This window comes from Homo sapiens, chromosome 2, assembly GCF_000001405.40.
Source record: "Homo sapiens chromosome 2, GRCh38.p14 Primary Assembly".
NCBI classification, from domain to species: domain Eukaryota; kingdom Metazoa; phylum Chordata; class Mammalia; order Primates; family Hominidae; genus Homo; species Homo sapiens.
Window position 1 is genome coordinate 178,864,687 of NC_000002.12, and position 25,889 is coordinate 178,890,575.

At 37.9% G+C, this 25,889-nt stretch overlaps 1 protein-coding gene and 1 long non-coding RNA gene across 21 annotated transcripts in view, besides 2 other annotated features; one reads left to right on the plus strand and one right to left on the minus strand.

The window, feature by feature from the left end:
* Positions 1–25,889, minus strand: part of CCDC141 (coiled-coil domain containing 141) — a 235,160-nt gene that overhangs the window by 49,709 nt on the left and 159,562 nt on the right. For 17 of the 20 annotated variants that reach the window (XM_047443994.1, XM_047443993.1, XM_047443996.1 and 14 more), the window contains exons 9-17: positions 23,841–23,982; positions 22,066–22,185; positions 20,215–20,406; positions 13,278–13,457; positions 7,447–7,626; positions 6,741–6,866; positions 4,431–4,619; positions 3,340–3,519; positions 1,081–1,230 (exon numbers count right to left, since the gene is read on the minus strand). In XM_047443994.1, coding sequence (XP_047299950.1) covers positions 1,081–1,230; positions 3,340–3,519; positions 4,431–4,619; positions 6,741–6,866; positions 7,447–7,626; positions 13,278–13,457; positions 20,215–20,406; positions 22,066–22,185; positions 23,841–23,982 — 1,459 coding nt within the window. Of the gene's footprint in view, positions 1–1,080; positions 1,231–3,339; positions 3,520–4,430; positions 4,620–6,740; positions 6,867–7,446; positions 7,627–8,334; positions 13,458–20,214; positions 20,407–22,065; positions 22,186–23,840; positions 23,983–25,889 lie in introns of those variants that run through there. The other 3 variants (XM_047443998.1, XM_047443991.1, NM_001316745.2) reach the window with 2 other exon arrangements.
* Positions 6,196–7,395: an enhancer, noted in NCBI's record as "MED14-independent group 3 enhancer chr2:179735609-179736808 (GRCh37/hg19 assembly coordinates)". NCBI's record gives its function as "activates an origin of replication core promoter dependent on BRD2, BRD4, P300/CBP and CDK7 cofactors, and independent of MED14, by STARR-seq in HCT116 cells {active_cell/tissue: HCT116}" and the evidence as "EXISTENCE:reporter gene assay evidence [ECO:0000049][PMID:35650434]".
* Positions 9,582–10,781: an enhancer, noted in NCBI's record as "MED14-independent group 3 enhancer chr2:179738995-179740194 (GRCh37/hg19 assembly coordinates)". NCBI's record gives its function as "activates an origin of replication core promoter dependent on BRD2, BRD4, P300/CBP and CDK7 cofactors, and independent of MED14, by STARR-seq in HCT116 cells {active_cell/tissue: HCT116}" and the evidence as "EXISTENCE:reporter gene assay evidence [ECO:0000049][PMID:35650434]".
* The window catches only part of LOC105373766 (uncharacterized), a 39,495-nt gene continuing 31,783 nt past the window's right edge, over positions 18,178–25,889 (plus strand). Inside the window, exon 1 of the long non-coding RNA XR_001739140.2 lies at positions 18,178–18,310. This is a non-coding gene — a long non-coding RNA (uncharacterized LOC105373766). The remainder of the gene's footprint in view (positions 18,311–25,889) is intronic.

Below are 25,889 nucleotides of genomic sequence, written 5' to 3' on the forward strand. Positions count from 1 at the left end.
AATGTGTGGCCTACAGGAACGGCCACTTCAGAGCCAGGCCACCATTAAAGTTGAGTTATTTATACTTATTTCTGTGCTTTAATGTTGTTGGATAATATTTGATACTTGCTGGGTCTAGTTGATGTAAACTGGGCATAAACAGAAAGTGAAGAAAGTTTACTGCCTCCTTTTCCACCACCTTCTTTCCCAATGGACTTATGGCTTAATGGGCTCAGAAACATTTTGCTCTAAATGGAGATAAATCTAGAATTATGTGTACCCTTGTGTTCTGCTATCACTTCCCAGTCAAGAATGAGAACCATTGCTATCCCAATCTGTGAGTTGTTTTCTCCCAGAACAAGTAAGCCTTTCAATGGAAAGCTTAGCTAGGAGCAGGTGGTGGTTGTGATTTAGTGAATATCTAGGTGTTGTGGATTTGTTACAGTTGAGGGGGAGGAGATAGAATTAAGCATGTGGAGGTGCATGGATGTAGAAGATCACTTTGATCTGTTATTTCTTTTTTCTTGAAGAGTTGTTTTGCCAGAAAAGCCAGTCAGTTTGAATAAATATGAAACCAGCCACTTGACCTCAGTGCTAATACTTCGTAGCCTCCAAAGCAAAGTGTCTGCTCCCTGGCCCCTGGCACCATTGATTCACCATGAGTCAATGACCCTTAAATAGAATTTCAGCAGGCTGGAGTTGGCTGCAACGAACTGGTCAATGTCACCCCTTCCTCTGGGTCCTGAAAAAGCTGTATCCACTGAAGCAAATGACTGCTATACAGGTTTGAGGGAGAAGGGGGAAGCAAAAAACAAATAAACAAAAGCAACCAAAAAAACTGTACTACTGAATTATAGGTTTTTCTATGCATTGACATCATACTGACTTCAACAAATTTGAGAGCTTGAAGTTTACTCAAACTTCCAGATCCCTGAGGTCACTGCTCAGTGGATTAAAAGAAATAAGTGAGAAGAAAGTCTCCTGATTCATTGTGTGTTTGCATGTGTGTGGGAGTGTGCACAAATGTGGACATTTAGACACATGCTTTAGGTTCAAACAGCTTTTTGGCAATGTGCCAGTTCTCACCCCTCCCACACCCACCTCATTTATCTCGTCTCTCATGGCGCAGTACTCCACACTACGGGACAGGGTCCGTCCATACTCCTCAGCTTTGGCACGCCACTTCATGCTGTCCTCCTCAAGGAGCTCCAGCTGCTGCTGTAGGTTCTTTGCAGAAACATTAGAGCAGTGCTAAAAGAGACAAATGGTGGTAACAGAGAGAAAGGACGAAACAGCAATAAGACGAGTAGGCTATTTACCTGAATTATGAAACTCATAAATGACACTTTTTAAAAAAAGAAATAGGTTCCTGATTTATTTTACCTTAAACATATTTGAACATAATTATTTCAGAAAGAAGCCAGTCACCCAACATTATGGAAAAGACATTTCCCAGCTCAAATCTCTAGTGTTGAAGATTCGCTCATCACACCCAACTCCTCAGAGACGCCATTCATTATAGGGTATAATTTTTACTTCAAAAGGCATAAAATATGCATTAGAAACATTTGATTTCTGCACTATAATTTTCCTGTCAACTTGAGCCTAACCTCAGGTTCATTATGCAAGTGCTCCAATCTCAGCTCAGCACAGTGGGGCTGCCAGGGCCAAGGCCAGAAGAGGATTGGAGAACAATTTACATTATTTGCACAAAGTGAGACTTCTTGCTTTCTTTTTCTTTTAAAAATAAATGTACTAATAAAATAAACTCTTTAAAAAGAAAGCTCTTTCCTGGCAAAAAACCAATTCCATTAACAACAACAGATAATTTGTATTTCTATATCTTTCAGTTTAAAAAATACATATTTTAGATTCACTGCATTTCATATAGTTTAGTGGATATCTTACATGTATTTTAAAATAAAATGGGCCATTATGATTTTATTAATGTTATACCTATTGTTAGAGTAAACATAATCTTTTCTCCCCTCAAGTTAGAAATCTGGAAAAGGATTTTTTTGTTTTGTTTTGTTGTTGTTGTTGTTTCTGTTTTTTTGTTTTGTTTTGTTTTTTTGAGATGGAGTCTTATTTACTCTGTCGCCCAGGCTGGAGTGCAATGGCTGGATCTCAACTCACTGCAACCTCCGCCTCCTGGGTTCAAGCGATTCTTCTGCCTCAGCCTCCCAAGTAATTGGGATTACAGGCACGTAATACCACGCCTGGCTAATTGTTGTATTTTTAGTAGAGACGGAGTTTTGCCATGTTGGCCAGGCTGGACTTGAACTTCTCGGCCTCCTAAAGTGCTGGGATTACAGGCATTAGCCAATGTGCCCAGGCTAAAGAAGGAATTTTTTTAAAGAATCAATGTCCAGTGTATTATTGATGAAAATTTGATCTGGGAATATTTCCTTCTCTTTTAGGCCTCTCTTTTGAAGTCCGACAGTGGCATCAAACAAATCCAACCAGCCCTGGCTAGAATCAGGAGGCTTGGACTCCTCCATTCTGGGCTTTTATGGGTAAGGTGGGAATTTCTGTTTGCCTCAAATTCTTCATCCATAAAATGATAGCTCTGGCCTGGATGAACTCTAAGATCTAGATGGTCTTCCAGATCTGCAATGCTAAAACAGCACTGGCCAACAAAATGTGAACCACACAAACAATTTAAAATTGTCTAGTAGTCATATCAAAAAATCAAATAAAAAGATAGAGCAAAATTAATTTTTATAATACAATAACCAACTATGTCCAAATATCACCATTTTAACATGTAAGTAATATAAAAAATACTAATGTGATTGCTTTTCATAATACCTCTTTGAAATCTGGTGTGTATTTCATACTTTGAGCTTCCTCATTTGTTGCTAAATTTCGATCAGAAATATTAGATCTGTATTTTAATTTTTTAAATTTACAGTTTCGAAAGTTGATTCCCATACCCAAATTGCTCCCAACATACTTAAAAGTTGTCCCATAACTATACTGAAGATCAATTTTTAAATTTATATTTAAATTAATGCAAGTTAAATAAAATTAAAACTTTAGTTTTTTAGTTGCATTAGGCACACATCAAAGGCAAAAAAGTGACTGCCACACTGGACTATACAGATCTACTATATAAATACTCTTTAAAAATTTTTTTTCATGAAAATAGAGGTATTCAACAAGACTTTTACATTCAGATTTTCTACTTAAAATTTTTTCTTTTGTCAGAGGGTAGAAATGAATCACAAATAACTACCCCAATGGTTTAGTTTATTTTTAAATTTAACATATACTAAGCAATCTGCCTGGTTTCTTTCATATGCTAGCCCAAGCCCCAGCTAGAACTGAGTCTAAATGATAGTGTTATTAGATGCTTACAGGCCGCTGCACTGATGAGATGATGTCGACTCCTAAGGAAAGGGCCAGTCTGTGGAGATGGTCTACACGGGCTTGCTTTTCCTGAGAGCACCGGAGGTGAATCTGCACATCATGGGCATCACCCAGTTCCTTCGGCTGCTCTACAAACTCCAGCTCTCTTGATTTGATGAGACGTCCCAGCTACAATTTAGGGCATTAACAATTAACCTGGGTTTTATATGAAGACAAATTTTTTTTTAAGCCTAATTTCTATAGCACATTTTGCTAGCTGGTCGAAATGCTGCCAAGCCCATCTTTAAACTGTTGGCATTAGCCAAATAAATGTTAGAATGCTGCAAATCCAATGGTGGTAAAATTGAACTGCTAACGTTGTCAGTTCCATTAAAGAAGGAAACAGTCTTTTTGGTCATGACCCAAAACCTTAGCAAGATCTAGGTCTGTGCTCTGAGTAAATTTAGAGGCTATTTTAAAGGGATATTAACGAATATTCCTCCATCTTATGTTAATAGAGACCATAACTATGAAGTTTTTGTAAAAATGCCACCAACAAATAGCACTCCATGATGTCAGGTACTTGAAGTGCAAAAAAAAAAAAAAAAAAAATCTAACTTGGTTTTCGCCCTCAAAGAGCCTAGAATTGAATTGGGGCGGGGGAGAGGGGGTGGGCGGGAAGCTATGCTTATCAAAAAGTAATTAAGAATCAAGATAGTAAAATGCAAGATATGTGGAATACACAATGAGCTGTAGGATTTTTGAAGAGAGAGAAATCATTCCAAGTGAGGTAGGATTGTTGGAAGGAGGTATAGGATTTAGATAAGAGGGAGGAGAAAGACAGACTTGTCAAATAATGGCAGCCTGAGAGTCAAGGGTTGGAGTTAGGGATGTGTGCATCATCTCTGAGGGACAAAGAGCTCAGTTTGGCTGGAACAAAAGGAAGAATAGGAACATAGTGAGAGAAAAGATAGGGGCCAGATTGTGTAAACTTCTGATACTAGAAGACACAATTTGGCCTTTATTTATTATATAATAATTCATTTTTAATTGCATAGTTTAAAACTCAGGATTTTTCAGACATCCCTTCTAAGCCTTACCTCTTCCTTGACTTGATGGAACTGGACCACCTTGTACAGGATATCCTCGTAATCCTGGATTCTCTCTTTCTGTTTTTGATGGAAGTGAATAAGGTCCTTCAGTTGTTGAGACTTTTCTTTTACAGGGGCTCCTCTGCCAGTTAACTCCTCTGATTCTTTCATAATGTACTGAACCTCATCATTCAATTGCTAAAACATTGAAAGCAATAAAAAAATCTTGCTATTAAAGAACTTTTTTACTTTACAACTGACAATATAAAGGTCTAAACAATGAATCACTCTTTCATTTGTTAACAAATACTTATTATGAATGCCCCCACCCTCCAAAATATTTGGGCATTGTGCTGGATGATAGAGATATGTTTTTCTATACTCACCTGAGAAATTTACAAAAAAAAATAGCATGAGCAATGCAACAAAGGTTTCAAAGCTAGGTGGAAAAACAAAGTCATACATTTCTATGGCATACCAAATATTCTATTCATCTGTTAAGTAAATGTATTTTAGATATTTTATGCAGCCCCATGATTATCTCTGATATTTAATACAGACTAGAATCAGGTGGTATGGTAAAAACACCATGAGAAGATGGGTGTAAAAATATATCAGGGGAATAACTTGTGCTCTGTGATAAAAGAATGATCAGAATGAACCACCAGCTGAACAGCATAGTAGATAGACTGCTTCAAAAGCGGTCATCCCATGATCCACAAATAGCCATCACATGTAGGGAGGGATAAACTGCCTTGCCTTTCACCCAGCATTGCTCAGATAATCCAGATTCTGGAATAGAATTTGCAAAAGGGGCATACTTTAAAGAGAATGCTACTATAGGCTGGGCATGGTGGCTCACGCCTGTAATCCCAGCACTTTGGGAGGCCAAGGAGGGTGGACCACCTGAAGGCAGGAGTTCAAGACCAGCCTGGCCAACATGGCAGAACCCTGTCTCTACCAAAAATACAAAAATTAGCTGGGCGTGGTGGCACACACCTGTAATCCCAGCTACCCCAGAGGCTGAGACACGAGAATCACTTGAACCTGGGAGGCGGAGGCTGCAGCAAGATAAAATTGTGCTACTGCACTCCAGCCTGGGCAACAGAGTAAGACTCTGTCTCAAAAAAAAAAAAAAAAAAAAAAAGACAGTGAGAGAAAGATAGAGAATGCTACTATAATTTCAAGTGTAGATCTTTTGTATGAAAGGTAAAAGTAATGGAAATGATTTAGACTAAGGAGATAATTTTCAGAAGAGTGACCTAAAAAGGGTCTTCAAGTTCAAGCATTTGGGCATTAAATATATGTGCATCACAGTGACAGGGCTAAAGAGGTGTGACAATGGTCCTGATTTAGAGGAACTTACACGTACATGCAAACGTGCACACAAACAAAATGCATATAAGCAGATAACGCAGGGTGTATTAAAGAGCCTAATATAGGCCAGTCACATTTGCTGAGAGTTTTATAAGAGTTTGCTGTGGATTACAATGGTGGGTGTGTTTCTGTGTAGCAGGTGCGGTGGTTATACTTACATCGGTTTTTGTCTTAAAGGAACCTACAATTAGATATTCCCTAAAGGAATCTTCAATATTCTGATTCTGGGATTCTTTGAAGCCCACATTTATGAAGCAGTGACAGCTAGAAACACAGGTATCTAAATTTTGCAGCAAAGCATAAGAATCCAGGCAGAAGTATAATGTGACTAGCAGGTGGCAATTTTTGGCGGTTGTGTCACATTTTGGAGAGGCAGGAGGTGGGGAAATAGGGACTGTGTTAAGCAGTCAGGGTCAGGAACATGACTCATGGTTTTATTGCTCATATCCTGAAAGGTGGAGTGGAGGGCACAGCAAAATTCCTGGGGTGATGGTACGTGCCTGGGGTGCTGGTGGGTGAGGACAGTGACATAACAGTGGTCACCTCAGGGACCCAGGGCAGCAGAGCCTCTGGGTCCGAGGTTGCCCATCCTTGTTCTGAGATGTCTCAATTTAAAACACCTCTGCACTCCCAAGGAAAAGAATTAGAGTGAAAATATAGGATAAATATATTACTAGTTTAATTAGCCATGTGAATTTTAAAAATCTAATATAAAAATCTATTTAGGACATTGTATAGCCCTAATGCTGGTATATCATCAAATTCAAAAGAATGCAGGAAAAAAGTAAGAAAAATGTCTCTACAGTGGATTTTTAGACAAGCAATACTTTTGTTTAAAAAAATAGAAATTCACCAGCCTGTTACAATTAATCAGGTAAACTGCAACCAAACAGTTTTAAGTATTTTTTCCATTCACCCAAATCCAGCAATATATTTCTTCACCTGGAACTGAGGCTTCATGTCATTCCATTTTTGTCGTAGATCTAAAATGAACTGGAGGCTCCCTCCGAGGTCAAGTGCAGACACAGGCATAAGTGCTTCCTGAAGAAGTTTTAAGTTGTGAGAAGTCTGAAATAAATATTGGACAGTTACACATGCATTTTCTTTGACATCTCCAGCAAATTTGATCATTCTAGGTATGACGCAGAGTGTGATCAAATTTTTCAAACCCCATGAAAACACTCAGGATGTGGCATGAGCTCAGGGTTCTAAACCACCAAGAAGTAAGGCCCTTGGTTTCTGCTGCCTTTTTTGGTTTTATTGTGGTAAAATACACATAACAAAAGTTACCATGTTTACCATTTTGGGGTGTACAGTTCAGAGGCATGATATTTAATACATTCACATCAATGTGCAATCAACATCACCACCAACCACCTCCAGAACTTGTTTATCATCCCAAACAGAAACTCTGTACCCATTTAACAGCTCCCCATTCCCTCCCTCTCTCTCCCAGTCCCTGGTAACCTACATTCTGCTTTCTGCCTCCATGAGTTTGACTACAGGGACCTCATTTATAAGTGGAATCACACGATATTTATCCTTTTGTGTTTGGCTTATTTCACTTAGCTAGTGTTTTCAAGGTTCGCTCATGTTAGCCTGTGTCGGAATTTCATTCCTTTTCACATCCCATTGTTCCTTGCCTCACCTTTTTAAGTTGCTCTTTGAATGCCGCCCACTGCTGTTTTCCAGGCTTGCTTTCCGTGGCTTTAAGCTGCCATGCCAGCCGAAGGAGGCTAAGTTCTTCCCGTTCTGCTTTCTGGTTTTCCATGGTGTTCTTCATGAGGTACACTTCATTTTTCACATCTAATATCTCGTTCTCTTTTGCCTGTTAAATTAATAATTCATATAATAGCTTTTCTTTCCCAAGAGATACAGCTTTTTGTTGTATATAACTATTTTACGAGGCAAATTCTTTATCACAACCAAAGCCGAAGATGGTTCTGACATCCAAGCAAGTCCGAAATCCCTGCGCAGAGGCACAGTTCAGCTCTCGGAACCACATGCTGTGCTTAGACATCCGGTCCCGAGTTCTTCAAGACCCAAGGGGTGTTTGAATTCCTACCTAGGGTCTGGTTATTTCCTGGGGTTTGAAAGATTATTTAATGAGCAGGGGATCCATAATTTTTGAAGTGAAGATTTAAAAAATGCGTATACCTATACGCATTTTAAGTATACTCCATCTTTTATTTTAACATGCTCATTGGAATACGTCAAAATATCAGTATCAAGGCATAGGAGGGGACGGATTGTTCTGGACTGTTTTGTTTTTTCTTTAAACTATTCCATTGTATACATTGCAATTATTTTAAATGTCCTTTGCTGTTTCTCGAGTTCCTCCATTTTGTGAGAACTGAAATGAGTCTGTATCTCTGTATTCAGAACTACATCATACACCGGAAGCACAGTATCTAAAATCAAAGATTTCACTTCCCAACTTTCAGATGTTCTGCTTGACTGGTTTGAAATCTTTTAAACAATGGTTTGAAACAAGGGGAAATTCAATTAGAGGTAAAATGATAATAAGAGCAAAGAGTAAGACTATGCGTGCTTTATTTCTGTAGAAACATTTAAAAAATGCACAGGAACATTCATTTGGCGAAACAATTCTTATGTTTTTTACTTTAATAGCCAGGCTTTCTCAATAAATCTTCAAATTTCTATCATCTCAATGACAGCAATTGACAGTATCATAAATACTTAACAGGATATTTTAAAGATAGGCCATTTTATTTTAAAATTATTTTAAATGATATTGATGTTGCACACTTATATTTTTATGTTATTTTACACATTATAAAGTGGCAACTCCAAAAAAATATATATCTGTAGGTCCTAAATGAGATTTCCCCCATGAACTTAAGAATCTAGTAATAAAACGTTATATTCCCTCATTATTAATAATGATACATAATAAATTATGAAAGATATTAGACAACTACAGCAGAATTCACCCCAAATTATACTTTTATCATAAATAAAATTATCTTTCACATATTTTAAAGAAATGATTAACCAGAATGTAATGTATTATATAATTTAATATAAATTTTGAAACTGCAGCATGCCAATGACAACTTTAATCAGAAGGATATGGTGGTCTGAGTGAGGTCTAGAGAAAGGAGAGCTAAAGTAGGATTTGTAGATGTCTAGCTAGTAGGATCTGTGAAAAGTGATCATGTATTTGGCAGACGAATATTTTGGCCACTCAAGAAGATTGAATAATTTGCCTGAGGTCTAATTAGTAAACACAGTACTCATTTTACTTCTGTGTAGGACATGGAAAATGTTTGTCATAATCCAGTCTAAACAGGCCACTAAAGCATTCATTTTTCGTTTATATTCATGCACCATGAATGGTTTTCTGATGTCTTGCTTTTCAGATACCTTGATAATAGGAAGGCTGTATCCCAGATAGCATTCTTGGTATTGGCCATTATAAATTAATAAATTAGCACTTTCATCAAGATGTCTGCCATAATTTGGGCCTGAATCAGTTTCTCTGATCTTAATGATTTTTAGATGAACTGAAATTTTTTCTATTTCTGGCTTGAAAATATGAGCCACGACAACCCAATAAAGAACAGAACACTCAACTGAATATACCAGCTGGCCTCTGCCTTCTTAGCAAGCAAACTAGTCACCATGATTCAACAATAATGTTTGTTTAAAAGCCTAGTGGTCCAAAAGATATAAGAATAAAAAAAATCGTTTTACTTACTTTACCAACAATTTCATCTCTCCAAATGTTGCTAACCAATAAATTTCCTTAGTACGTGGGCTTTAATTTTATCAATAAGGAGGAACTTATTTATCATATGATAGTGGTAAAGACCTTAGGGTAGAGTGACCGTGTTTATGACATCAAGATAAAAGAACACCAAAGCACAGTAGTAAAATATATGCTATTTCTGGGAGATCTAAGTGGGCATTGAATATTATGATAACCTAAGTTTATTTAGATATAGATACAAAATATAATTTGGAATAAGTTATTGTTGCAGATCTTTAAAAACAAAAATCTGACTGTACAATCTTAAACATTCTAAATAAGTAACAAAGGACTTCTGAGTAGAATGGGGTAGCCAGTGGCAGAGCAGTGCTTTTGCTTAGAATACCTAGAAAAGCTGGGTAAAATGCAGAAGGAATCCATTTGAAGGAAGCAGAGAACTGGTCGGACAACCGGAACTAGAGAGGCTGACTCCAGAGAGGGAAGAACCTGACAGGGGTGAGCTCACCTATCATCCCAGGGGGATTTCCCAATTCTGTGCAGACAGGAAGCTGATAATCGAGACTTCCCTGGAGCCGAGAAAACACCAGAGATTTTGGCAGACACTTGGAGGGCTTCAAGCACAATGATCTTCTAAAGACGTTGACAAAATACCAGGGGTATATCGGGCAGTGGATTAAAAAACCTAAGCAAAAGGCCTCTGAAAAGCAGAGTGGAGTTTTTCAGCAGACTACCCAAACAAAGATTGGAGTTTGTGACCTGCCAGGGGCAGAGACGTCAGAGAAAGCACTTGGCTCTCAATACAAAACTCTGGGAGCCTGAGGGGACAGGACTACACTGCAAACACAACTCTGCCAGCTTCTGATTGGCTTGAGTGATTGCCCACCAATGCCTGCCTGGAGAAAGAAGGGTGACCCTTTCTAGAAGAAGAAAACACCATCTGCTGATCCTCCAATTTTTTATACATAATGTCTGGCATTTGATAAATATTCGCTAGTTCTGCCAAGAAACAGGACTACAGGACTGGAAACCAAGAGAAAAATTAGACAACAGAAACAGCTCCAGATTGGCCGGGCGCTGTGGTTCATGCCTGTAATCCCAGCACTTTGGGAGGCAGAGGTGGGCAGATCACTTGAAGTCAGGAGTTTGAGACCAGCCTGGTCAACATGGTGAAACCTCGTCTCTACTAAAAATACAAGTATTAGCCGGGCATGGTGGCAGGCACCTGTAATTCCAGCTAATCGGGGGACTGAGGCATGAGAATTGCTTGAACCCAGGAGCTGGAGGTTAAAGGGAGCTGAGATCGCACCACTGCACTCCAGTCTGGGTGACAGAGCGAGACTCCATCTAAAAAAAAAAGAAAAGAAAGGAAAGAAAGAAAGAAAGAGCTCCAGGTACAAATGTTGTAGCTAGCTGATGAACACTTTAAGTGCCTAGGGTTAATATAGTTCAAGAAAGTATTGGAAAGATGGGAAAAGAGCAGACAAGAAACAGAATTTCATCAGTAATTTAATAAATAAAAGTACCGACTGTAGATTCCAGAACTAAAATTTCTGAAATGAAGTTAGTAATAAAAAGGTAGACAAAATTACGCAGTTTGAAAGTATTTGAATTCCCTTAGGTAAATCAGAAACATACATCATCAACAGATGGGAGAAGACTGATTGAACCACGTAGAAGTGTGAGAGAGAGACAGAGATAGATAGATAGATAATACATGTTCTAAATGTTCTAAACGAAAAATAACTTTTCTTTTTTTTTGCAGTAAAGCACCTAGATCACATAGGAACATGGGCAAATTGCTTAGCAAGTTTTCTTTAGTGCTTAAGAATCATGTTGAATAAATGAGAATCAGCTAATGCATATTTTATTTCCAAGTAGGTTTATCAAGAATGGTCTTCAAACAACAAAAGTTGAAACAAGATAAAGAGAAAATTGCAGCTCCAAGTAGATGAGGGTAGTTAGAACCTAACTCTTCCAAATGAATTCAGGCTCCAGACTGAGATTAATCACATCCCAGGTACAGAGAAAATTGCAGCTGTCAGTTATCTTTGAAAATCTACAGAAACTAGAAGAGCCATAAAATTAGAGAACAGAAAATGCCCTGATTTTCAAAAGGAGGAAAGGATGGACTACACAATTTACAGATTGGTAAGCTTCACACTGAAAATCAGTGCAATAAGTTCATTACTTATCAAGCACTTTGTGAGCATTTTGGAAAGAATGCCTTGATCGCTAGGAGCCAACCTGATTTATGTCAAATTGTCTATGTCATTGATAAGATACTAGGTAGGTAAACCTTCTTTTGAGCAGTTTATTTGAGAAAGTCTCCCATTATAGACTTAATACAAAGATTATGAAGTAGCGGCTGAATGAAGTACTATTGGGAGCATTCATGATTATTTTAAAAACTGGTTTAATCAATAGACTGCTTCATGAACTGGAATGCCAATCTGCCCTTTAGGCATTTATATTTAAGAACTAATTGCTGCCATAGAAAGCTTACTTGTCATATCTACAGAATTAAACCCAAGACAGATGGCTAATATACTAGGTAGGTTCAAATTAGTTTAGCAAGATGGGATCATGTGTGAAGACTAACAAAATAAAATTAAATAAGAAAAAATATAAAGGCCCACATTTGTATAAAAAAGGTAAATGGCTGACACAGGTATAATATGGGAGAGACATGGTTTGACAGAAGCTGCAATAAAAATATTATGAGAGTTTTGTTCTATCACAAGCTTAATATGTACCAGCAAAGTGAAACTACTGCTAAAAATGTTAGCATAATTGTAGGTCTCATTAGTGAATAATAATGTCCAGTTTACTGTACTCTGTGTTGCACCTGTAGTTCACTTTTTGGTTACATTTAATGAATGATCTTGACAAACCATAGAAAATCCTGAGAAGGGGGGATCAGCATAGAAAGAAAAATAAAGCTCCTTCATAAATGATGGAAAGGATTTTTAATGCTGCAGAAAAAACTCAGACATAGCAACTGTTTTTAATGTTGGAAGGACTTTCATGTGTAAGAGAAATTAAATATGAATACTTTTTGTCCCTGTGTAGCTACAGATGATTAGGAGTAGATACGGAAACAGATATATTTAACATTAAAAAAAGAAGGTTTCTAGCAGCTGGCATTCTCCAACAATCAAATGAGCAGTTTCATTAGGAAAATACTTGAGGTATTGAAAGAGAAGTGGACTATCTTTTAAGTATCCTACAGGGAATTTTATATGGGTTATGGGTGGATATAAGGATTCTAAAATATTTTACAGATATAATTCAAGACAGTTAAAGGTTAGGGTATTTTTCTAAATGCAATGGATCTTCACTACAAAGAGATCTGCTATGGTAAGAAACTCTTCAAAAGAAGATTCATCTTAGAAGTTGTCTTTAGCCCCTAGAAATTTTGAAAGGACCTTGTTGCATGCTTTCAAAATAACACAGAACTTTTGGGTGGACTTCTGAGGACTCTATTTAATAATAACAATGTTGCATTTGGATTACAGTCACTTTCTTCTTAATAGTTAAAACAGCCTTCCTGTTATAAACTAACCAAAGTTCTAGGCCAAGCAAGCATTTAAATGTTGGGCTTCAGGACTGGTCTAGGTTGAATGAAGCTAAAGAGAACTCCCTAGGAGAGAACTGCTGATTAATAGACAGCTGAACCTTTGAAATTATTATTTTGACTTTGATGAGTATCCCTGCAGAAGGTGTGATCCATTTAATGCCATTCTTACCATATTTATTAAATTAAGGAACTCAAGCCCTAGATCTTGTGTTATAAAACTCTTCTTTAAAAATAGCTGCCACTGCTTCTCAGCCGAGTCAGAACAATGCTTGGCTTTAGCATCATCCTGCTCCTTCTGAGGGATTTCGGTTTCATAAAATTCTTTTAAGCTCTGAAACTGCATCTCTACCTAAAAAAGAAAAAAGAGAGTTAAGAACACTTAAACACATTTTTTTAAAGAAAAAGAACAGTAGATTCCAATAAAAACCTATATAAAACCTAAAACTACATTTTCTGAATTTTTAATTTGTAAACATATTTATTTATTTATTTATTTATTTATTTATTTTATTTATTTTAAGAGATAAGGTCCTTTGCTCTGTCACACAGGCTGGAGTGCAGTGGCACCACCATAGCGCACTGCAGCCCCAAACTCTTGGGGTCAAGCAATCCTCTCTCCTCATCTTCCAAGTATTAATGGCTAAAAACTGCAGACTATAGGCACCCGGCACCAGGCCTGGCTAATTTTTTTTTTTTTTTTTTTTGGTAGAGACGAGGTCTTGCTATGTTGCCCAGGTTGGTCTCGGACTCCTGGGCTCAAGAGATCCTCCTGTCTTGGCCTGTCAAAGTGCTGGGATTACGGGCATGAGCTGCCAACCCCAGCCCATTTTCAGAATTATTTAAATAATTATTGAATATTTTCAACTTATTGAAAAGATTCAAAAAATCTATTTGGATTGTTGATTGTTTGGGTAGAACACTGAGCTGACAGGTTTAATAAGCATAAAAACTAATTATTGAAGCCAAAATCATATTTATAAATTCTGTGTTTGTATGTTTTTCAATTTGGGACAATTTATGTCAAAGACCTGTGTGGTTTCATTTAAAGCCAAGTTTTATAATTCAGAAGAAAGATGCATACATGGAATCAGACGATACAAATCAGTAAGAAATACAGGCCAGTGAAAGATTATTAGTAAATCACAATTTACTTCTAATCAGCAATAAACCAGAATAAAAAAGTATAAATAATTACTAATTTTCTGCCAAAGTATAATACTAAACTGCCTTCAAGAGCTAATCTCTTATTAAGGTAAATTACTATGCCTCCCTGGAATTATATTTTCTCATTTGCTAACCAATGTAAGCAATATTAGATCATTTTAAATCACTCCCCTTGATCAGAGTTTATGTAAAATCAAATGTGTCTGTAGACCTACAGATTAATATGTAATTGGATGACGTAGAAATAGTAGAAATTATTTGACACAAGTTTGTATGCATTTTCAATAATACTAATGGCTGACAGGACCAGACTTAAATAGCTTGTAACTCCCAAGAGCAATCTAAACAGGGTAAGAAATTTCAGGCAATGGTTAGTCACTATATTTTAAAGATTTTCACATTTTTCTTAATTTAACTGAACTTCATAGGAGAGCCTGCAAATAGCTCTCAGAAACAGAAGCTGTCTCCTCATTTCCATATTCCATTTATACATGCCTCTATGTTTTGCTGATGCTTGTTCCCTCAGCCCAGAATGATCTTTCCTCAATTTTCTTCTCTTATTTATCCTTCATGAGCAGTTAAAATGCTACTTCCTCCATGGAGCCTTCTAAGATGCCCTAGTAATAATTAACTATTTTGGGGGGTACTCAAAAATAGCTCTAGGAGAAAGAGAGCCATAATCAAATTATTACAACACAAAGACACATATACAGACAATATTATGGGCACACTGAGGAGAGACCACCAACTCTATATGGAGTAAATAGGGAAGAGCTTCCCAAAGGAAGTGACGTTTGATCTGTGTCTTGAGAAATTGTCCACAGTGAGAAGGCGTCAAAGGGGATCCCAGATGGGAGGGATAACTTGTGTAAAAGTGTGAAACACTAGCTGTGAAGACACTCGCTGATTCAGAGGACAATACATGATCTTAGTGTGAGTGAAGTACAGGTTGCACAAGCTGAATGGTAATAGACAGAGGGATATTCGTGCTGGGATAAAACTGGCCAGCAGGTTTCAACCTGTTTCCTGCTGTAACCAATATAACTGAGATACATTCTCATTAGGTTGAAACTACCGATAGATGAGTCGGAATCAGCATGGCAATCATCAGGGCTTCAATAAGATCATCCATTATAGGCTGGGTGTCAATATTATGGGCAGTCAGTTATGTGCAATTCTCAAAACATAAACTTTAATTCATCCTTCTTTTCCAACTGTTCAAAAAAGACTCCTTGAATGCAAATGAGAACCATATTATTATAGAAATTCCCTTAACTCTGTACTAGTTGATTTAGGTGAATTAATGATAAACTTTAAGACTTTATTCATTTGTGATAAAAGTTATTTGCAATTGCTTTATTACACTTGTCAAATTACCTGAATTTCAGGAGGTAATGTGATCAGATTTGCCTTAGAATGTCTTTTGTTTTGGCTGCAAAAAGAAGGGGAGTGTGAAGGGGGAAATATAGGAGGCAAATTGAGCAGGCAGAAGATGACGTCATTAAGCTGGATAAGAGATGATGACAGCCTGAACCGAGGAAGTGATGGTACAAGTGCCGAGAAAGGGGAGTTCAGAAATCTTTTAGGTTGGCTCAATAAACAGATATGGGAGAGCATGGCCTTTGAAATAGAAAAAACAAAAGGGAAAGAATTGGGGATTAAACTTCAGCTTTGATGTTTGCTAGTGCTTGATCCTGCACACCTCACCCCTCAGATCCTCAGTTTCCCACATTTACAAAATGGGGATCATAGTAACTAAAACATAGGGTGTTATAAGAATTAAATAAAATCAGGAATGAAAAGCACAGTACCTAGTACAAAGTAAATGCTCACTGAGAAAGTGATTAAAAGAGACATAGAAGCTTCTACATAGGATTCCTGAAAGGATGGTGGAGTCATTAACCCAATGCCAAAATACAGAAGGAAAAGCATATTTGAGGAAAAGACACCAGCTGTGTTTTGCTGAGTTGGAGGAGTCTACAGGATACATAGCTAACGGAAAGCATTGGTTTGGAGCTCATGACAGTTGGGGCTGAGGAACCACTTTTGAGTTATTGGTGAAGAAACCATAGGTAGGAATGTGGTTTTTGTAGAAAAAGTGGGTACAATGTGCAAAAGAGAGGGCACAGGCAAGAATTCTATGACCCACCACGCTTTAAGAACAAAAAAGGAAAGTGAATTAGGAGAAAGGAGAAGGAACAGACAAAGAAGTAGACAGGATTATTCCACTTATGTGAAATATCCAGAAAAGGCAAACCTAGAGGCACAGAAAGTAGTCAGTACTTGCCTGAGGCTGGGGGTGGGAGCCAGGACTGACTAAAAATGTATGCCAGTGCTCTTCTGGGGATGATGGACATATACTAAAACTGGAGTGCTATGGTGGTTGCATGATTCTATAAATATAGGAAAAATCATTGCATTATGAAATATGTGAGTTTTATGCTATGTAAATTTTACCTTAGTAAATCTGTTCTTTCAAAAAAGAAACCCAAAGGAGGTGAGAGTGGGTAACTGGGTCAAATAAATACGGCAGAAAGATTAAGAGGATGAAGACTGAAAATATGCCACTTAATTTGTCAACCAGTAGGTAGCTTAAAAGAACGTTTTTAATGGAGTGAAGAGGTCGCAAGTGGAAGGGTTGAAACAGGAATAAAGCGAATTGCAGTGGGACAAGGACAGGATGAGCAAGTAGAGGTGAGGAATATCTTCTTCCCATTTCAAGAGTCCAAATTTGAGCCTGGGCATCATGAAGAAACCCCATTTTTACAAAAAAAAATACAAAAAAATTAGCTGGGCTTGGTGGCACGTACCTGTAGTCCCAGCTACCTGGGAGGCCGAGGTGGGAGGATCACCTGAGCCTGGGGAAGTCGAGGCTGCAGTGAGCTGTGATCATGCCACTGCACTCCAGCCTGGGTGACAGAGTGAGACCCTGTCTCTCTCTCTCTCTCTCTCTCTCTCACACACACACACACACACACACACACACACACACACACACACACACCAGTCTACATTTGAAGGGAAATAAAATGATGGAGTGGTAGCCTTGGTGAGGGCAAGACTGTAAGGACATCACTGTAGAACAAAGGAAAAGAAGCAATGGAAAAGAAACCTGTTAAAAATTAGAGGATGGCCAGGTGTGGGAACTCACACCTGTAATCCTAGCACTTTGAAAGGCCAAGGTGGGTGGATCACCTGAGGTTGGGAGTTCAAGACCAGTCTGACCAACATGGAGAAACCCCTCTCTACTAAAAATACAAAAATTAGCCGGGTATGGTGGTGCGTGCTTGTAATCCCAGCTACTCCTGGCTGAGGCAGGAGAATCACTTGAACCTGGAAGGTAGAGGTTGCAGTGAGCCAAAATCGCGCCATTGCACTCCAGCGTGGGCAACAAGAGCGAAACTCTGTCTGAAATAATAGTAATAATAAATAAAATTTTAAAAAATAAAAATTAGAAGATGATTGCTGGAGCTAGATGCTGAAGGACGTAGGAATATTCAGGAAAGAACTAATCACAGATTTGTGCTGAACAGGAGCAAAGACTTTAGTTTATTGGAACCCATGGAGGACAGGTGAATATGTCAACAAGTTTGGAAGTCAAGGCCATTATTCTCAATGGCTTCATTTTTTTTTTCAGGGACGTATGAGTTAAGAACATTGGATGAGATTTAGGGATAGAAACTAAGGTGAGATGCTTGAGAATTGCTACCAAATGGGAGCCAACTAGGGAGCATATGGGAGACCTAGCTGAAGCAGAGGCCCGTGCATTTGTAACGGGGCCAATCAGCACAATTGTATGATTTTCCACTGGAGCGTCTGGAAGCTTGGAAGGAAAGGCTGAGTAAACAGAGTATTGGATTGATCTCGTATTGGGAGTTGGCAGGGTTAGTCAGGGTGGAGGGCAGGGAGTTGAGGGGATGGAGGATGGAAAGGAAATGAGTAACCATTAGCTGGTGAGGAAGAAAGGAAAGCCAGAGGAGGAGTGAAGTAATGTACGGGGAGCATTGCCAGGATTGGAAGGATGGAAGACTCTGCCAGGTAGGAAAACAGATTTAGCAGAAAATAGAAAGCAGGAAGCTAAAATGTTTTGATTAAATTGTTGTTTGCAAAGCTAAGCCTCCTGGTCCAAAGGCCAGAGTGGATCAAAGTTGATGCTTAAATGAAAGCTAAGGAGGTTCATTTTCGGCAATGAAGATGCAGAAAGCAAGCACTTCTTTGTAGCTTCTCTACCATTTCATGTCCTGCATTATAATATTCATCAACAAGATAATTCTGTCAGTTGGGAATAGTTTGGAACTTGCCAAACCACAAGAGTTTAGGGTCAAGAACTAAAAAGAACACAAAGGATAAATGCTTGAGGGGATGAATACACCATTCTCCATGATGTGATTATTACACATTGCATGCCTGCATCAAATCATCTCATAAATATATATACCTATGTATCCACAAAAATCAAAAATTAAGAAAAAAGAAAATAAAGAGAAAAAGCTAAAAAGAAGTCAGAAAGGACAAACCGGTTGAGTAAAAATGTAGAAAAGGATGCAGTGGTGAATTGAGAATATTATAAAGGAATTGGATAGAGGAGAGATGTGCCTGCAGGACAGTGGTGGTGAGAGGTAAGAAGGAAGGTGTTGAGAAGGTAAAGGTGAGAAGATGGAAAAAATCAAGCACATACTTATCTTGGGTTGGCTCTACCCCTGAGTGAACCCTACTGGCTCTGCCTCCCACTAAACCAGCACCCATCTGCCTGAAGAGGAGTGTGATCTACATTTGCATGGGGATTACTAGGATTGGGGTTAAATAAACTGGGAAAATAAAATAGGGCTTTTCTATTACTGATGACAGCTTCAAGAAGCAATGACCTTTGAGATGGAATCCAGTGTACTAGAGGGAATATTAGAGGTCATCTAGTATAACCAGACAAAATAAGGCCTCAGAAGAAGCTCTGAGGGGTAACATATGAAGACACATCACACAAGGCAGATTCGAGACTGAACCCAGAGGCCTGTAATTTCCAATTCTGTGTATTTCAAATGAACCACACTAACTGCTAAGGTATTCAAAAAGATCCATGGTTTAGAAGATGACTGTTTTGAAATAATTTTGTTGTATGTTTAGGATATTGTAAATATTTGTAGGACGTAGTAAAAATTATTCCAATATAACCAGTTTGTTTATTTGTGCATATACCACAGTATCCACATGCACAAATTTGTATGATTTTTAATACAACAACTTATTTTTTGAGCCTTTGTATGGTGCCTTGAATAATGTGAAGAAAAAAAAAAAAAAAACCAGAATCTCGGGACCCCAAACTCACTATGACCAAGGGAAAGTTAAGCTTGGGAACTGGATCACACACAGAAAAACTGCTTTGCTTTTGTTTCCAAACAGATAACTGTAATTTTACAGCTTTATGTCATAGCCTCTACTCCCTATTTTCACATGTTTACTTTATCTTATGTAAAATATAGATTTACTAGGTGTGCAACAATGCATAATTTACTTTTTCCCCATGTAAAAATGTAGGTTTTCACATGTAAAATGTAGATTTGCTGAGGCTAATCAGAGCCTCACAAGAATGTAACCAGCTGCCTCACTGCCTATCCTCCCTCCTTTTTGTTTTCCTTGTGCTTGCCCTTTCTCCTTTAAATACTGAAGTTCCCCAACCCCCCTTTGGAAAACGCACAGGTCACAGGTGCTCCTGGGATTTTAATTTTTTCCCAGGCATATCTCGACCTTGGCTAAATAAACCTTTATAGATTGAGAACTGCTGCAATCACTCTTTGGTTTACAAGAATACAGGGCCTATAAGTGAGCCCACGCACAGGGGTAGAGGATATGGACCTACCCACCAAGGCAGAGCATATATCCCCACAGAAAGCAAGGACATGGGCAGTGGCCACCTTGCTGAAGAAGGTTAACACATAGTACCATACCTCCTCTGATGACTTCAGAAATGCCACGTAAGTTTGCAGGACTTGCGATCTATAGTCAATGCTTTGGCCAAATAGGTTTAATTCTTCTGCTAGCCATCTAGCTTTAGAGGAAAGTGATACCATTTCATCAGATACAAATTCATTTTTCTCCATCATGGTTTTTGCAGCTGCTTCTAATTCATGTGATGTCTCCTGTAAAAGCAAAGCACTGGAGGTCAGAAACTGACAGGGGAATCATGAACATTCACGTTTCATTATCTTCTGCATATCCACCAATTATGATCACTAATTGAACTTATACCAAGAATCTCCTCAATAAAGAAAGACACAACTTCCAAAATTCTAAAAAAAAAAAAAAGGGCACTTTAGAATGAAAATCATTTCAAATTCTTCTTGGTTCTATCAGCTATACTTATTTTGAGCACTCTATTTTCTGTGTCACAAATAAAAGAAAGGTTGTTTGGTATGAAAGGTTAGAAATGTTTTAAATAATTTAAATGAAATAATTATACATGAGATAGCTATTTGAAATTTAACAATACCTCCAGCAAATTCCTAAACTAATTTTATTATATGAGATGGCAAATTTATAAAACTTATTTATTAGTTTTTAATTTACAAAAAGATGACCTATCAATAGTGCAGTCTTATTTAAATCTCTATCTAGAAGGGCCAGTGGGGAAAATATTACATATCAGGCCTAAATAACCTAAAAAATCAGTGACTTTGACTTGCTCAGGGATGTTCTCCTATGTTTTCTTCTGAGTGTAATTTCTGTTATGTGAACTCCAACCACTGATTAAATGGATGAATAGAAATTGTGGGCATGACGATTATGCATGTCATAGAAAGAGCCATGTAAAATTTCATTGAGACCAACCTAAAAACCAAGCAAAATGAAAGAAAAAGCTCTGCAGCAATGAGAGATTGCTTCCCTACTTGTGATTAATATGCTTCCCAAGTACTACATTGAATGAAGGTAACTTTAATTTAGAGGCCCTGCTTCATGATAGCACTCTGGGAAGGAAGGAAGCGGGGAATTTCTTCCCTTGTAATCTCCTCCCCAGTTCTAAAATGTTTACAATTAAAAAATGAAATGGAGTTCAGACATAAGTTCTAAGTATTCTAAATAATAAATAAAAAATACCCAATTTAACAAAAAAATGGGTGTGTTTGTGAGTTTCCGGTGGGGACATAGTCCATGAAGGAGGCTCTTCTGCTGAGAACTGGAGTCACAGGCCTCTTCCTGCTGACCTGGGAGAACCAGGGGAGGGCACTTGACTCATGTTCCTTAAACTTTGCTGGAGCAGACAGAAACTTCAGGGCAGGTTTGGAGCCAAGTGCCAAGTGAAAGGGGTAGGAGGGAGCTGGAGAAGGTGCTGTGGTGGGGGTGGGGCACTTTCTGTCTCTGAATGTTAGGTAAGCAAACAAGGTTGTTTTTATTTATATCCTTGGAATCTTGCAATAACGCACGTTGCTTCTGGTCATTTTTTGGTAACTTGCTCTTGCAAAAAAAATTGCCAATAGTCAGAGAAGCACTGTCCCTGCCTCCTCTGCCACCCCCAAAATGAGGCTTTTTTTGAGAAACTGCCCAGGCAAGAAAAGGGAACCAAATGAGTGTTTAATACCCAGCCGTAATGCTGACTTTCAGTGAACACAACTGCCCTAATAAATGCACATATAAATATAATTTAGACACATAAGAATATGAGTTTTTAAGTCATTATGTGCTACATATGAATTTAGAATTGTAAACCTCAAGTGAGCTAGGATTAAGTTTATAGCTATCAAATATTTTTAAAATTATCTTTACAAAATTATAGCCATAATAATCATTCTCATTTTATTTACCTTAGCTTGGATATCTAGTTCCAGATATTTATTCAAAATCTTCTCTGATTCAGAACGGGTAGAACCAACATCCATTGCATTAGAAAGTACTGGACTGATTTTCTGAATTGACATTTCCACCTTTAGGAGTGAATAATATATGGCAGTCTTAGTAATATATTTTTGCATATATGTACGCACATGTGTCAGGAAGATAAATATTATTTTATAGATTCTCATTATACTTGAAATGTATTTTATCAGTATTAATCTAATATAGTTTTAAATATTCAGAATTTCATGTTTTAATAACGCTGCTCTTCATAGGAGGTAATACTTGTGGTCTACCAACAAATGTTTTATGTTGAAAGATATTTCTTTTATTAACAGCTATTAGATATAAGCAATCATCCACATCCTCTAAGAACTTATCTATATTACCTATGAAGGATAATGCACTTGCTAACACATCAACAGAGATGAATTTATCTGTGAGTTGAATAGGACCCAATTTACAGGCACGTTTTAAAGGCAAGATCCAGAGCATGAGCATTGCAGTATTTTGGGAAGAGGGACTCTGGGGGAGCACCAAACCCTGGACGTGTTATAGTAAAACACAGGGACATACTTAGGACATTTAATTGATGAGCTTGGAGGACTATGATTTGATCCTCAGTGGACATGAGTCATTGACTAAAATGACCCTTGAAGGGTTCTGTTCCATTCAAGTTACATGCTTTGTCCCCTCGCTCTAACTCTAGTCCATACTCCCCAGACTCAAATTGGCTCCAAATTGGCAATAGGACAAGCAGCAACAGCTGAGGTCCTACTGTTCCACTGCCACCAAATTAGCTTGGGTCTCAAGCTCCAGGCAATGCAGCACCACAGCTGCCACCATATTTGGAAACTCCCTAAACCCAGGCACCAGAACAAGGATAAAATCCCCAAGTTTCTGGATTAATAACAGGTGAGGAAGCAATTTAAATACAGACATTGATATTTAATGCCTTCTCCAGTGAAGTCTACTAATTCTATTCATGTAAGTTCAGGCATATAAGTCCACCGTATCAAACGAAAACATCATTGAAAATTTGAGACCAAGCCTCTGCAGCAAGATTCATTAGCATCAATGCCACTGAGATATTACTAGTTTTTACTAAAGATAAATAATTTTTTTATTTAGTCAAATTGTAGCTCCTTAGTCTTATTCCCCTTTGGAAACAGGAAGTAAAATTCTTCCATACCAAGCCATCATGTTCACTCTGCAGAGAGGATTTTCACATGTATGTTTATATGCAGAATGACTGTGTTGCCTTGCACTGGTCTAGTTCAATAAAATATAATAATGGCAATTTATTCCTTGAAAAACCTAAAACTCATAATATTTGGGATCTGTCTATGTATCAATCTATCTACCTGTCTACAGTCCTGGTGTTGTATGGTACCATGGTAACAGAAACTTGTGCATATTTGAACCATGCTCAGAACCATGCAAATGAAAGATCCACTCTATTCCCATCTGTACTTGGTTCAGTTAACACAGTACTGTGCAAAGCGGGAACTGCCTTTGTGTGTATACCTTCAGGCCAGAGGCGCAGACAGGCCACCTGGGTCAGGGATGGTTGATGAACAACAGTGAATTACAACTCTGTTTAGTTCAATTAAAGGACCCAATGTGGTACATAAGGGCAGCCTAAGGAGACATGCCCCTGTCCTCCCGCCATGCCCACATACTGCCCTACCATATCATCTATTATCACCAACTTAGATATTTAAGTTTTAGTTTACGAAACTACCTTCCGTAGGTAACCCTCCACTGAGGCTGTTAGTTGTTGTTTCTTAAGAGCATATTCCTTGTGCGCTGAACACTGTTCGGTCAGATGATCCACTCGTCTCTTAATGCACCCCATCATCTCATGGATGCCGGACACCTGAGAGCTGAACAGAGCAAGCCAGCTGTTAATTCACTCCACCCCAATATAGAACACAGAATATTTGAAAACAGATCTGCTCTCATGTTAGGTAGGCGTTGGTAAAAGGCATCAGCTTTAGGATAACAGAAGTTAAGTAGCTATCATCTCGGCATAGCAGGAAGCAAAAATTATATTCTTTTGTTTTGTCTGTCAGTCCTGAGGGAAAAGATGAGTTATGGGTTTTTGCAACAAGGTCTAATCTTCTTTTCTAAAGGCTTACTTTTTAATATTTCTGTAGGATATTTTGAAAACCTTATGGCAAAGCCACAGTATGTTTACCACGACTTTTCCTTAGGATGTTATTTAAAAACTTCATTTATCTAAAGATGCTCTTTGAATAGAAATGTGGATCAGCCAATTAACAAAGCATTTACTAATCTAATAGGGTAAAATATTTACATAACACTAAGGTCCTTGTTCTCAATGATTATGAATGCTCAAGGCTGTATTCATTACATGAAAACCAAGTTATCACCAACAATTAGAAATCAAATATACTTGTTGATAAAAAAAAAAAGAAGCCATGCCTCACATTATCATTTTTTCGCCTGTGTTGGCCTCATGAGACAAAGAAAAGTGACGTGAGAGCTCCTACAATGAAAATGCCTCTAAAACAATGCATGAACTTTGAGATGGACCCTAGCTCTAGTCCAAAGATATCTTAACAAGTTTCCTCATATTGTTGATGGAATGAACACTTAAATTTTCCAACCTATCCTTAAGACTATTTAAGAAGTTGATGTCTTTCATTTCCCCTCAGTCATTTCCTTCACATACTGTATTAATAAAGATGAACATGATAACCCTTAAATTTAATTACCCAGAGTTTAAAAAGAGCTCAGAACAAGGTACAGGTTTCAGTCATTTTACCTCAAAATAATTAATTTATGACTCTGTAAAAATGAATTTAATTAGTAATGAAATGAGGGCAAGATCCTAAATGACCGAGAGGTAAAGTAACCTCACTGGAGTGATGACGATGCCACTATAGAGCTGGAAAACACTGAGGTGTGTCCTGTGGACCACAGAAGTCCCAGGTAAGTTTAATTGGAGGAAAATATGAAACCACTATGAGTAATCTTATTCCTGGCACATAATGTTTCACAGATGTTACATTTTAAACATTTAATTTTGCATTTTAATACGTAGAGACAGTGAAGAATATAATCAAGACATCAGGAGATTCTTCACATTTATCATTAAGAAATAGTTCTTAACAACACTAAATTCCATAATTCTACAAAAGCAGTGTATTGGTAATATGAATTGTATTTTGACTAGGCTTTAGACTTTGAAATATTATATGCTCAAAAGGCATTTAAAAGCCCAGCTTTCCTATATACTGTAGGCTCCAAGTTTTCTGCAGAATATGGAAACCTGGAATGAGAAAAATAAATTGAATAAAGGGCATTGTGGAAAGAAGGTACAGAGAACAAAGGTTGTGAAAGGAAATGGGCAAACACGTAGAGAAGAAACATAGCTGAAAATGGCAGAAAATGCCATTATTGAATAAAAGGAATTTGGAAATGATTAATACAATTCAGAAAGAAAAGCCAAGATAAAAGGTGCCCACTCCCACCTCTGAGTTGCCCTGTGTGGTCTCACCCCAAATGCCCTCAGTGTCTATTCCAGTTAGGGGCTATTTTACCAACTAAACTTAGAATACAGGCCTCCCTGACCCCAAGAAGCTGTAGCTTGGAGGGGAGTCCAAATTTTGAAAGTTTCCCTAGGGGAAACTAGATCTCAGTAACCAGCTCCAGCCAAGCCTCTTGATTCCTGTTCACATTACTCTTTTTTATTCCCTGGCCTTCTCCAAAGAATAAGACTGTTAGCCAGCTTCTTGCAGTTATCTATAAGTCCTAGCCATGATGT